Source organism: Homo sapiens, chromosome 10 (genome assembly GCF_000001405.40).
Source record: "Homo sapiens chromosome 10, GRCh38.p14 Primary Assembly".
NCBI lineage: Eukaryota > Metazoa > Chordata > Mammalia > Primates > Hominidae > Homo > Homo sapiens.
The window spans coordinates 31,115,072-31,129,324 of NC_000010.11; the positions used below are offsets into that span (position 1 = coordinate 31,115,072).

The 14,253-nt window shown below is 43.1% G+C and overlaps 1 long non-coding RNA gene across 1 annotated transcript in view; it reads left to right on the plus strand.

Annotated features, from left to right (window-relative positions):
- Positions 1-14,253, plus strand: part of LOC105376481 (uncharacterized) — a 123,422-nt gene that overhangs the window by 82,564 nt on the left and 26,605 nt on the right. The gene's annotated exons all lie outside the window — the stretch shown is intronic.

The window sequence follows — 14,253 nt, forward strand, 5'->3', positions numbered from 1 at the left end:
GTAGCATTCTGTGTGATTCCCTCAGATCTACCTTCCAGTTCAGTAAACTCCTTCTTAGCTACATTGAAACTGTTCTTTTACAGGTGCACGGTGTTTTTACCTTCAATGATTACAGTTCTTATTTCTATAATTTTTATCTGATTCTTTTTTAAACCTTTTTTTAATGCAATCTTTCCTAATGATTTCTATATCCTACTTTATATTTTTTAAATGCTTGTATTGTAGTCTCTTCCAACTCGTTCACTCATCTTCAGATTTTGTTTCACTCACAGTATTTGAGTTATGTGTGTGTTTATGTGTGTAAGTGTGCATGCATGAGTTTCTGTCTGAGATATGGAAGGAACTCAACTTCAGGGGAGGGGGGCTTTCTCTGGAGTCCGTATACAGTGGGCTGCGACACATCTGCCCTGCTTCTATGCAGCACCCACTGGACATGAAACATTCTCCAGTTAGACTATTCTTTCCTGAGCGAGGCATTCCGAATCCACATGAGTAGTATAATTTTGGAGTCCACTCCTGCACATGAAATGAAAAGTTGGGTTTTAACTTTATTCACAGTAGGCATTTTTTTTCCTTCCTAGAGCTTTGGGCCACCCAGAAAGCTTCTTTAATGCCTAACAGGCTATGGGTGAAGTTTTCTGGACCCCTTCTCATAGATCAGCAGCCCTTTAAGAGTTCTGGCGTTAGGCTGAGATCCCTCTCTAACTCCTCACCTTAAGTGGACTCCAAGCCATATTTCTTCTCTGTGCATGGGAATTAAATGCCTAGCTTTTAGCCTCCTGGGATGCTGTAGCTTCAAATTTTGATTTGAGTTCACTTTTTGCTTCTGATATGTGGGAGTTTCCTTCCTTTCTTTTGATTTTAACTTGCAGTAAAACAACAACAAGCTGGTCATGGTGGCTCACACCTGCAACTGCAGCACTTTGGGAGGCCAAGGCAAGAGGATTGCTTGAGGTCAGGAGTTTGAGAACAATCTGGGCAACATAGGGAGACCCCATCTTATCTCTACCAAAATAAATAAATAAATAAAAAGCAAAAAACAATTCACTGGGTGTGGTGGTGTGCACCTGTAGTCCCAGTTACTGGGGAGGCTGAGATGGGAGGATTGCTTGAGCTCAGAAGGCTGCAGTGAGCTATGACTGTGCCACTGAAGTCCAGCCTGGGCAACCGAGTGAGACCTTATCTCAACAACAACAACCTTTAAACAAAATTCTGTTTCATCCAACACTTCTCCATGTTTGGGGTAGTTGGGGTGGCTGAGTCAGCTCAATGCACCACACTGCCAGAAGTCAAGCCCATGCACGCTGTAGTTTCTGGTGGTTGAATTTGACCTTCTGGGTACCCAGTCATTGACAGGGGTTCTGCTCTGAGCCAGCTAGTAACCTGCAGCGACAGCATGCTGCCCACTGCCTTTGAGCAACACTGCACCTGGGCCTTCTGAGGTCTGATCATATTTGTGGCTCTGTCGGTGTCAGCCAAATTATGATGACTTTCCCTTCCTCTGCGTGGCCAGCTAACCACCTTCTGCAGAACCGCCACTGAGGGAACAGGGAGGAAAGGGAGCGTCTTCATTTTCTCTTTAGGAAGCTTGGCTGGAACAGGAATATTTCACCATTTAGAACCTCATAACTTTTGCGGGGCATGGGCGGGTCACAAATCCTTTTGGGGATCCAAAAAAAATGATGTATCCTGCCCAGAGCACAAAAGCACACCCACAGAAACTTCCACATGGACTTCAGGAAATCATGAACCCCCAAATCCCATGTTAAGAACTTCTGTCTGGAGGCTATCAGTTTCCTTTGTGAACTGGAAATCTTAGTTTGCTAGCTTTATCAAATCATCTCTAGTGGGCTGGGTGCAGTGGCTCACACCTGTAATCCCAACACTTTGGGAAGCTGAGATGGGAGGATAGCTTGGGGCCAGGAGTTTAAGAGCAGCCTGGATGACATAGCGGGACATCTGTCTCCACACACAAAATATTAAAAATTAGCCAGGTGTGGTGGTGTGTGTCTGTAGTCCCAGCTACTCAGGATGCTGAGGTGGGAGGATAGCTTGAGGTCATGGGTTTGAGGCTGCAGTGAACTATGATGGTGCTACTATACTCCAGCCTGGGCACCAGAGCAAGACCCTGTCTCTAAAAACAAAAGCAAAACAAAAAACCCACAAATCACCCCTAGTGAAAAACCGTGTTAAAGTGAGAATCTGACATACTAACAATCTTTTCATGGTACACTCAGTTGCTGGCATCTTGAAATACAACAATGGCACCAACAAGAATGTAGATAATTAGTGACAATTTCCTAATCAATATTTTTCTTCCTCCAAGTGCTTTTTATTAAGTAATATAATATCGCCAGCGCATAATTTCCTCCTTTTTGACTCAAACTTATGTCATCTCTGGGGCAGAAGAAATCTTATGAAACAAGACAGAACTGAGGTGACATGGCAGCAATAAAGCGGGATGCTAGATTCCTTTTCTGGGTTTGGGATCTGGCTTTGCTACTCATTTTCTAGTGACTTTGGGAAATACCCAGTCTTCTCAGGCTTCTTTTTTCCTTATCTGTAAAGTGAGGAAGTTGGACTAGATCGGAGGCTGGCCGATCTAGCCTGCAGCCCATTTTTGTAAATGAAGTTTTGTTGGGACACAGCCATGCTCATTCGTTGCTGCATTATCTATGGCTGCTTTCTCCTACCATTGTCAGAGTTGAGGAGCTGTGACAGAGACCAATGTCCTGCAAAGCCTGAAATGTTTACTATTGAGGCCAGGCACAGTGGTTCATGCCTATAATCCCAGCACTTTGGGAGGCCGAGGCGGGCAGATCACCTGAGGTCAGGAGTTTGAGACCAGCCTGGCCAACATGGCGAAACCCCCTCTCTACTAAAAATACAAAAATTAACCGGGCATGGTGGCATGTGCCTGTAGTCCCAGCTACTCGGGGAGGCTGAGGCAGGAGAATCTCTTGAACTCAGGAGGCACAGGATGCAGTGAGCTGATATCATGCCACTGTACTCTACCCTGGGCAACAGAGCAAGACTCCGTCTCAAAAAAAAAAAAAAAGAAATATTTATTATTAGTCCTTTACAGAAAAGTTTGCCTGCCTTTGGCCCAGATGATCTCTCCGTCCCTTCCCACCTGTTGATGATCTGTGACTCCCAGAGGCAGAGGGAATATTACCCAACCCAATTTAAGGGCAGACATGGAATCGAAATACTGGTAGATGAGCCAAGACAAAAACCCCTCTACTGTTTTGTTAACACAGCTCCCTTAGTAACTGCTGCTTAGGGAAGTCTATTAAAGAGTCAAGTGGAATTACTTAAAACAATCAGTCTTCCTTTGTGCTCAAACTTGCTTCATAATCCAGACAGTCACTGATTCAGAATGGTTTTTTCTACCTAGTGTACCTAAATCAGTGAGGTTTTTTTTTGTAAAAGTCACCCTGATAATATACATTAATAAACATGATTAAGTTTAGGAAATAACCGACAGAAGAGCACATACAATCCTTTTTACCCAACTCAAATTCTGTTTTGAAATGAACTCCACCATAAGCCAGTCCACAAAGCAAGCAAGCCCTTCTGATATGGATGGTGAGGGCAGTGTTCACCTGTGCGTGAACTTTCTGGGCTGAACATTCCACAGACTGATATATTCTTATGATTCATGTTGCCTGAACCATGCTTTTCAAACATCGTGAGCTGAGAAGTCACTGCACCACAAGGGCACAGCTACAATGGCAATTGTCCCAGGGGCTTGGGTTTCCCAGAAAGTCAGCATCCAGCAATCTCATTAGATTGGAATGGATCTTTTTTTTTTCCCCCAATTGCCTTTCCTATTCCTCGTCACTTAATTCATCCAAGAAGGGGTTATTTGGAGCTAAGTAGCTATCAAGGTTTTTTTTCCCAAAATTAGCATATTTCAAAGAGCTAAGCCTCTACATTAAGTGCTGAGAAAATAAGCCAGAGGCTAGTCTTACAGATGCTCAAAATTTCAGGTCCAGAAGAACAGGAAAATCCTCCTACTATTGATATAAATTTACTCTTTCAATCTATCTCAACCATCACACTACAATTTCTCTTTTCTCATCTAACAGCATCTCTGCCTACTGTCCCTTTAGTGCTTTGGAGCAGTGGAAATCATAAATTATAGCAACGGGCCGTTTCCTAACTGACCGTGAGAAGCGCTTTTCAAACAGCTTGGAAAAATCTCTCCCTTCTGCCATTTTGTTTTAATGGTAGGTAGCAAACGGAACAAACAGTCCCAAATGAATGACTGTCTCAAATGAGATGACAAGGAATGTAGTGTATGAATTCCTCTCCACTTCCTCAAAATCAAAGGGAGTTTGGATCCCAACCCAAAGCCACTGGGGTCCCCCGGGGTCAGAACTAGAGTTGAGGTTATAAACCCATGATTCCCAGAGGTGCCCACACTCCAGTGGGGCAGAGTGATCACAATGGAAAGTCAAGTGACTCCTGAGTAGCTTGGAGAGCGCTGGTTCCTTCCCTGAGCCTGGATATTAGATAAACTGGGCCCCAACTCCCAACTTTGGAAACCTGGGAGATTTCTTGGTTAGCTTCACTGTTGTTGTTCCTGCTTCATAACTTACCTTCTGCTCCTTCATGGCTGCCGCAAGAGATTTGACCTCATCACATATTTTTTTTTATCTTTTGAGACAGGGTTACCCAGGCTGGAGTATGGTGGTATGATCATAGCTCACTGCAGTCTCAAACTCCTGGGCTCAGGCAATCTTCCCAGGTAGCTGGCACTACCAGAACATGCCACCATGCCTGGATGATTTTTGTTTTAAATTTTTTGTAGAATGGGGTCTCACCCATGTTGTCCAGGCTGGTCTTGAGCTCTTGGCCTTGGGTGTTTCTCCAGCCTCGGCCTCCCAAGGTGCTGGGAGTACAGGTGGGAGCCACTGCACCTGGCCAACATTTTTACTTTTTTTGTTTGTTTGTTTGTTTTTCTGGAAAAGTCCACGCACTATTTCATTCATCTTTCACAGCATTTTTCTGCCTTGCTCCTGGAGCCTCTGCTGTAATTCCTTTCTCCAGAAATCACAACTTACGGCCTCTCTCTCTTCCAGAAGGACCCTTGCCCCTGACAACTTCTTACACTGATTCTTGTTTTTTCTCATGGGTCATGGCTCCATCTTCTGCTCTCTGCCCACTGTCTCATCTCAATCCTCATTCTAGCTAAAAAGAATTCTTGATCTCTTTTGCCATGGTGGGGGTTGGGGGACAAAAACAACTAGAGGAATTGCCTAGAAGAAGAGGTATTGCCCACAGCTTGTTTCGTTTTTGTTTTTTTGGTGGGGGGCAGGGAAAAGGCAAGTAGCTAAGATGTGGCTCAGAGAAAGTTCTTGTGATCAGCATCACAGTCCATTGCTTCTCAGCCCTTGGATTTCTTTCCTTTTTCTAGTAAAGAAATGTTTGCATTGCCTTGTTTGGAACTGGAATATTGGTCTTGCCCAAAGCCCTGCTATGACGTTCTTAGTTCCAGTGTTTATCTCCAAGCAAATCTCTGTTCTATATTTTGCTTCACTGTTTATGTTTTCTTATTCAACTTCCTGGTCTAAGCTCTGTAGAATTCACCTTTAGCTTAATCCAGTTGTAATACTTTCTAAATTAAGTGCTGGCAGTTCCTAAAATACAAACACCAAATTTACAAATGTCCCTTACACAAAGATGGCTGCCCTTTTTTACTTCTGGGTGGTATCACCAGAACGGTTGGAAGGAATTCTTTCTTTTCTGTGAACTTTTGGCAGCAAGAGGAGAATTTCTCACAGCCAGGTTTTTGAGTGAGGACTAATTTCCCAGAGAAACCATTGCCCATGGTGGTCTAGCTCCCAGACTAGCCCACCAAAAAAAAACCATTTAATCCACAATGTAGCTGAAAAAGTGTGGAAAAAAAAAGGCAGTGGATAAAGCTGTTTTTGCTCATGTGTAGGATTTCATTTTCATTAGGGGTTAAATTTGCACAGCCACATTTATTACAATGTTTCTATGGGAAAATGTTTGCTCCAGCTTCCAAAAATTGATTTACAAATAAACTCTTGGAAGAAAAATCCAGTCTAAATTTAGAACTTCCTAGATTAGCTCTAGTTTTCAGCACATATTTTTCCTTTTGTTTGCACAAGTCATCTGGGGACGGCTTTACTGGGGTTGTGTCTCTGCAGGTAAGCCAAAGGCGTGAGGCCGACACCTGTCTGGGGTGAGCCACCCAAGTGTACCACATCGAGGAGAGGGCCTCTGTAGCTTGCAAAAGGAGGTTTGGTTTCAATTTGGACTGCATTTTCTGGATTACTATAAATGCTGTCATCACTCTGCCTGTGTAGGAAGAACATTAGCTCAATTTCGTAAGCAAATTCTCCCTTTATACCTTCTCAATCAGCCAATGTGTTGCGAATGTGAGTCTTCCCTAAACATTACAAACCCAAACTCCAAATTGGTACATCCAGGAGTGATTCTCTACAGTAAGATGGAATTAATAAAAACTGGATTTCCCAAGAAAAATTCCTACTGCAGCCAGCTTGACCCTATGAGGACGTGGGCTTGGAGCCTTTCTTCTGGTATGTTCCCTTAAGGAACAGAGCTGTTTCTTGTGTCTAATCTCAACTGAAAAGGATTCCTTGTGTAGGTTGTTCTCCGGACACAAGCCTGGTTTCTGGGCCAGCTGCTCTAGGGGTACCTGCTCCCTATGCCAAATCACCACAATACTCAAGCTGTACTTTCAACGGGCACTGTAGTTCTTTTGTTCAGGAGGGTTGTAAGTGGCATTTTATTTAAGCAATAATGACTGCTAGAGAGGGCATTTCCTAATACTTAATGGCCAACTGGAGGGATTGTGGGCCTGAGGCAATGCATATAATATGCTATTAAACTCTGAAATTTAAAAATGTAAAGAAAAAATAATTACCTTCTTATGCATGTTACCATGGATACTGAGTTTTGTTTAGTTTTAGTCTTTTCCTAGAGGTTAAAGTCCAGTTTAACAACCAATAGAAAATAAGCACTTCAGTCTTAATTTCCACTCTCTTTATAATGCTTGACATTACCTAGTTAGTGTATGTTTCTTTAAGAAGGTACACATCACCCCTGAAATAGGATATGTAACATATGATGCAGATTGCCATGGTAAGTATTCATATTTTATTGCAGAATTTGGCAATCAGTATTTAAAATCAGCTAACCTTGTAGATAATCATGTTCTGTTCCCCCCGAATGGCACTAACTTTCATACCATTCTTTCTCCCCCAAAGAATGATTCATTTTTCAGCCCTCAAATTGCATGCACATATTTTATGCATTAGTGCCAGAAACACTTTTTTCAGTGGAATCTATTATTACAGTGCATAACTCAGAGATTAACATTTTAGTATGAAGGAGGAAATACCCAGAAAAGCACCTAATACTCCAGAATTTACACGGTAACTGTTTGTTCTATACTTTTAAAAATCTTCAAACACTTTTTCTTTTCTAACTCTTACAGAAAGGTAAGACTTAATTGAATCAGTTTTATAACTCTGCAGAGGTGCTGGCCCAAGTTAATACAACTAACTCCTTACTGTTGATTCTAGGGACAAAAGAACTCTTAGGAAAATTTAGAATCTTAATTACATTTATAACTTCACATTTCATCCCACAAATATTTTTTCCTACCATTAGATTGATCAGCTTTTATTTTTATTTTATCATAATAAGTGTATACTATAGCATCCCTTTATCAAATACATAATACAGAAACACCATTCCTCCCTTCCTTCATTCATTCATTTATTACCTATTAAGTATTTTTTTGACCAGGTGCGGTGGCTCACACCTGTAATCCCAGCATTTTGGGAGGCAGAGGCAGGTAGATCACTTGAGGTCAGGAATTCGAGACCAGCCTGGTCAACATAGTAAAACCCCATCTGTACTAAAAATACAAAAAATAACCAGGAATGGTGATGGACACCTGTAATCCCATCTATTGGGGAGGCAGCCAGGTGAATCGTTTGAACCCCAGAGGTGGAGGTTGCAGTGAACTGAGGTGGCGTCATTGCACTCCAGCCTGGGTGACAGAGCCAGACTCCATCTCGGGAAAAAAAAAAAAAAGTATTTTTAAAGTGTACTGAGATTTGCTGTGACTTAGGTCCTAGTAGCACGCAGCAAATAAGGAAGCCAAGCCCCCCATCCTTGAAGAAGTCTGTCTGCTAAGAAGTCAGGTATGAAACATCAACCACAATACTTTCTTGGAGGTGCTACACTGAAAGTGTGACAAGACGCATTGGGAGCACAAAGTGAAAACATGTCTCCTAGGAATTCAGTAAGGCATCTCAGGGGAGGTCACATTTACTTTGGATGTGAACTGTAATGCACTATTCACAATTTTAAAGTTATTATTATTATTTTGTTTCCTTAACTATTCTTCTATTGGAATACAAAGATGGAGACATTTCTAAAGCAACTGCAACTCAGTTGGGAGTCAAATACAAAACCCCACAATGGTGGTGACAGTGGTGATAAAGCCCATTTAATACATCTCCCATCCAGATCCCCCTCCTCCAAATTTTTATATGTATAAACAGTGCTAAATTTACATAAAGAAGTGTGTCTGTGATATGTCACGTTGACATAGAGACAATGGGGACACTAAAAGTCCCTGCGAAAAGGAAGTAGTCACCTCCCACTGTGTTGATTTCCACATTGACATGCAGTGCTGTGCACACTACATTTCCTGGCTTTATAAAAGTACATGAGGAGAATCCCGATACCTTTCTTTGTATTATTTTTATCTATAGACATCCAAATCATGGTCAATGCCAGTGTGATTTATCTGGGTCCATAGAATTACACTGCACAGGCTAAAAGCCTAAGTTCTGAGTAGTAGAGAAATAAAGGGATCAGAAGAGAAATCACTAGGAAACGCTGCCTAGACCCCATGAATCTGAGCCAGACCTTTTGGGCTGTAATGAACATATAGTCACAGAGATAGGCTAGCATGGACAAAAGCAAGTCCTTGGGGGTTAGAGAAAGCAGATTAGCATCCCTGGAACAGAAGGCCTGGCTTGCTGCGAAGTAAGGAGAACTTAGATTAAAAAGATAAGGGCAGGAGGAGAGCAGATGGCAAATGGCCCATGGCTAGCGGAGGAGTGTGGTGGGATTGGTGAATTACTACTCCGCAAGGCGTCACCTCTGCGTTCCTGCCCCAGGTGTGCCTCAGCCCATAGCACTTACTAAGTTGTAGTGAAGTGATCTGGTTAAACATCAATCCCTCCACTCTCTCTGCATCCTCAACTCTGATCTCCTGCAAGAATGGAGGTACTGCATCCTAGTACCTACTCAGAGCCTGGTGCAGTGTCTGTCAGTGAATGCTGGTTGAGCCTGAGGCAGCATTCATTGATTCAGCCAACGGTAATGGAGGGTCAGCCCTGTAACAGCACTGTCCAAGCAGCTAAGGAAACTGTGGTGAAAGAGATCAAGTCTTGATTGTATGGAGCTTATACCAGGTAGGCACTAGGGTGCCATTCTAGATTCTTACGCACAGTGTGCGTGAAGGAACTGAGGAAGATTCCTTGATCTGAGTATAGGGAGCAGCCTGAAATTCCTGTCAGACATGCCAGCCTGCAGCTGCCGCCTTACTGCAGTGTGAATATATGAAGAGCCAGATCGGGCCTGACAAGAGGGAGAAGCCCAAGGCACAGAAGATCTGATGGCTAATCAGAGCTGAAAATGAAAAGCTTGCTAAGACTGGGAAAGATTATGTTTAAACATTTAAATAGTAAGCTTTTCAATGGGAAAGTCCAGGGGAAAGTATAAATGTTTTTGCAGGGAAGAGGAAAAGTACTACTGCAAGTACTTTGACATCAAAAGGCATATTGAGGAGGCAAACACGAGGACTGGATGCGATAAGTTTCATAAACCAACTCCCCTGGCACGGGCTAAGTCAATTGTGAAGGCAATCTCAGGGGGAAGGATGACCTAGCTTGATTGAGAAAGCACACAAGCCCAGAAGATGTGAGTTCTGACTCAGGCTCTGACAGAACCTGGACTCAATCACCCAGCCTCACTGCTTGGTTCCCCGTGCCTCTGAAGGCTGCCCCTGGCCTCTGCAACCTTCCAGCATCACAGCAGGAGCATGACCCCTACCTTCAAGAGCTGGGGGAATGAGAGAATGTTCTTCCCGTCCTTTTAACCAGAGGCTACTAGAGCTGACAGGATTATCTAAACCACGAAGGACAGAGTTTGGGGATGGGAGGAAAGTGGGGAGGAAAAGGGAGAGAAGCAACCAACCCTACTTGAGGTGTGGCCTACCTGGGACCATGCGCAATGCCATGTGCAATTCATAGAATGAATAAGCCACATGCCTCTTCCAGTAAAAGATCTGGGAAGTTTGATCCAAAGAGGAAAAGCTAATTCATGTGCCTCAGAAGGCTTATAGGAAAATGGGGGGAAAGTTCTCTTTACCCAAGTCAAGAAAACAGATATGCATGCCCAACTTCCATTGCATCACTTGTCAGGAGAATTTGGGCAAACCTGTGGAAGAGGTTTTCTGAAGTACTTTCTCAAATCAGTAACTTTTGGTCATAAAAGAACTCAGAGGAACCACCTTGTTATTTTCTCAAACACCCCCAAGATGGAACTTTCTCATTGGTGAGTCAAGACCGGAACATAAAGTGGCAAGGAAGAAAACACAGATTACTGATTTGTCCAGACACTCTGATGTAAGTTGACATGTGAGCACACATATGGCAGCTGGGGACATACTGATTCCCTTTTCTGATCTTCCCTGAGCTCCAGAAAATCTCCAGAGATTTTAAGGAGCTTCTATTAGGTGAATAGGAAGACACAATTCAAGAAAAGATTCATAGAGTTTGATTAAAAAAAAAAGAATCATGGTTTTAAGTTTCTGTAGTTATCCACAGAATGCTAACCTCAGCATATATCTGAATTATTAAACATCTGCTGTATCAGTGTGGTTCAGTTTCAAGAACTGATTGGGCTGAAAAACAAGCCATGCATGCAAAGAAGGTACAAAACCTTAGGATCCTAGAAATGAATATATGAATCCACAAATTCTCATAAAGTTTCTGACCATGTGTCAAAACTCTAAGGAATGTTTGCATCTACTTACCTCTGTGAAAGTGCATTATCTTTCACGAAATGGCTAAAATCCAAACTGAGAATTGAAATCAGGGTTGAAAATCTGGCATCTGAACTGAGATGTGCTCAGACTGAATGCATTCAGGAATTCTCAAAAAGAGTTCACCTTGCTACGTATATGTATATTTGATCAACATCAATTGACAACTAGCAAGAGGCTCATAATTCTATAGTTTGGTGTTAGTGAAATTGACTATTTCTAGAATAAAAGTTTTTTCTTGACCTCACCAGCCTATGCATACAAATCATTTCATACAGTGATAACCCAAGTTTCACTGGCTGTTGCAGGTAAGGGTCCCAGGGAAACAGTTTATTAAGGAGTGCTTTGGGGATCAATACCTGTGAAGGGAGAAGGACAAGTAGGATGAGACAGAGGGGGAAGTTAAGATGCGATGCAGTTTTCAGCAAAAACATCAGCCAGTCCATGTGGAGCTCTGGATCTGGGGTTTAGAGTTGTCTCAAGTTAGAGCAAGAAGGTCAGGTCTTTCCAGTTTCATATTGATCATTCAGTACAAGTCATTCCTGGCAGGAGGTGTGATCTTCAGATCATGCAGGCTGTATTCTCTACTTGAGGCAAACCCCACAGGCTAACAGCTGAGGGCTATCTTCTGACAGCATTCCCAGCATCTTGGAAATAAGACTTTAATTCCTCAACAAGAATCTTCCTGAGTAGGAATCATGACAATGCATCAAAGCATCCACAACAGTCCACGCCTTGTGGTGCTTGTATCCTCTTATAGGCTCTGGGAAACTTTCCTTCAAGGTACTAGTGAGCCTCTGTTCCTAGTGGGAACTTGTAAAAGGAAGAGTAGTGGGACAAATTATAGATCCTGATGCTAGAGCTGGCTTAAGGGTGACACTAACACTTATCTTCTCTCTCCTCTATTATCCATTGAAGATTTCCATCACTCTCAACAGGCACCTCTTCTGATCTCAGTGGCTTTCCTGGTGTTAAGACAAGTTGCTCATCCCTGAGGGGTCTGAACTTCCTGGTCATTATGCCCTTCACAGGCTACAGTCTATTTTCTTTAAAAATTGGAGAAGGAAGTGCTGAGAGGCGCCTAAGTAAATCTCTGAGGTTATACATGTATTCTTCCCTTCTTTGCATGTTAGAGTAGCCTTCCCTCTTCCTGGTGACCTTGATAATCAGGTTCAGTTATCCCTTCCAAGATGGCGACTCCTCTTTCTTGCCTGTGGTCCCCTTGGTGCAAGCTGTGTCCATGGATCAGCCACAGTTATGATTCAATGGGCTGTTGCTGTGTCACCTGTCAGAAGCATTCTCCCTTAAAAAATGAGTACCTCAAAACCCACAGAGCTCAGTGTTTGGGGGATTCTCCAAGTAGGTCATTGGGAGTGATGGCTGGCAGAGACACTCCTATTTCCACTCCTTGGTTCCCGGACTCATGTATTTTACCCGTGTGAACACAGTGCCATATAAAGGTCTTTGCTTTAAGATGTATTCTGCCTCCTGGAGAATGGTGCTCCATCCTGACAAGGCATCACTTTTGAGCTGGTGTATTGGCTAAGCCCCAACAGTTCTGTCTATACCATTGCTTTATGTGGCTTGAAGCCCCAGGGTGTCATAGCATGTGCTAGAACCGTTCAGTGGAGTCCACGGGCATGCGCCCATTCTAACAACTCCTTTGCTGAAAAGTGGGCTCCTTGCCCTGATGTGATATTATACGGATCCCATGAAGGTGGATTTAACACGATAGAAGCCCTTGAATAGTGGTGCTCACCAAAGTGCTAAGGGCAGGAAATGTGAACCCATGCCCAGGATATGGATATGTGCCCATTCAGGTTAAAATTAATTGCTGCATCTTCCAGGGTGGAAGGTATCCAGTGTAGTGAATTTGCCAGAGTGTCCGGTTGGTCTCCTTGAGGTATAGGCTCTACTGGGACCCCAGTATCACTCTCTGCTGCTAGAATGTTAGACATTTGGCAGTAGCAGTGGCTAGAAAAGCTTTGGTAAGCGGGAGCCAATACTGGTGGGCCCATGCATAGCTTCCATACCTGCCACCATGGCTATTCTATTCAGCGCCGGCCCTGGAGTGGATGATGACAGGGACTGCTGTCAACTGGTTAGTCATTTTGTCTACCTGTATGTTTAGTGCCTCTCTTGTGGGTGTTAACATGTGATACAAAGACCTTCAACACTCCTGTAGTCCATGCACGTGTCTCTACTCCAGACCTCCTTGTGGCCAATCTGCCAATCTGTCTCCTACTAGGCCCCTGCCCATTTGGTCAAGCCATTTGGTACTGCCCATAAGTCTGCATATATCACGACCCCAGGCCACTTCTCTTTCAAAACAAAGTGTATGACCAGGGACACCACCATCCACACTGTCTTTTAAGACCACCCTTGAATGGGACTGTAGCACAGTTCCCATTCATTTTCAGCTTGCACGGATGTACAGAGCTGGCCCATCCATGAAGCAAGCTTGAGCTCCTTCCTCTTAGTCAGCTAATCATAAGGGTCTTACATATGGCTGTGGGTGTGAGCTGAGAGGGAAGTGCTGGTACAGTAATAGTGGATGGCTATTGTGCAGCTTGACTGTGCCCTCTGGTCCTGCTTAGGCCTAATCCCAGATGTACCAGTCCAGTCTTACAATGGATTGTTCCAGGGCCTATCCAATGACATGACATAGTGGTTTCGACAGAACCCAGCTCCTGATGGGCTGCTTTGGCCACATGGTCACTTTGTGTCCCATGGTCAGATACTGTGTCTCTATGAGGTCCCCATAGCATGCCAGAACTGTTGTTCAAAGTTGTATAATTCTCGCTGTGGATGGCATAATTTTGTTCCAGGCTTGTTAGTGATTAAACAAATTCAATAAATCATCTCCAAATGAAGACAGTAAAGTTTTTACACTTACTTTTCAAAACCACAATTTTCTCATCATTTTTAAAAAGCTACATCATATAGTAAGAGTATTCAATGTGACTTTGGGACTTTTAGACATGATTTTTTTAAAAAAGGTCTACTCACACCAATCTTTGCTTATTTATATCAAATCCACAAATACAGCAGGATGAAATGAACAAATAAAAAAACTTAGGAGTAAGTTAAAAATATGGCTTGGAAAAATAACACAGGGCCAAGTTAAA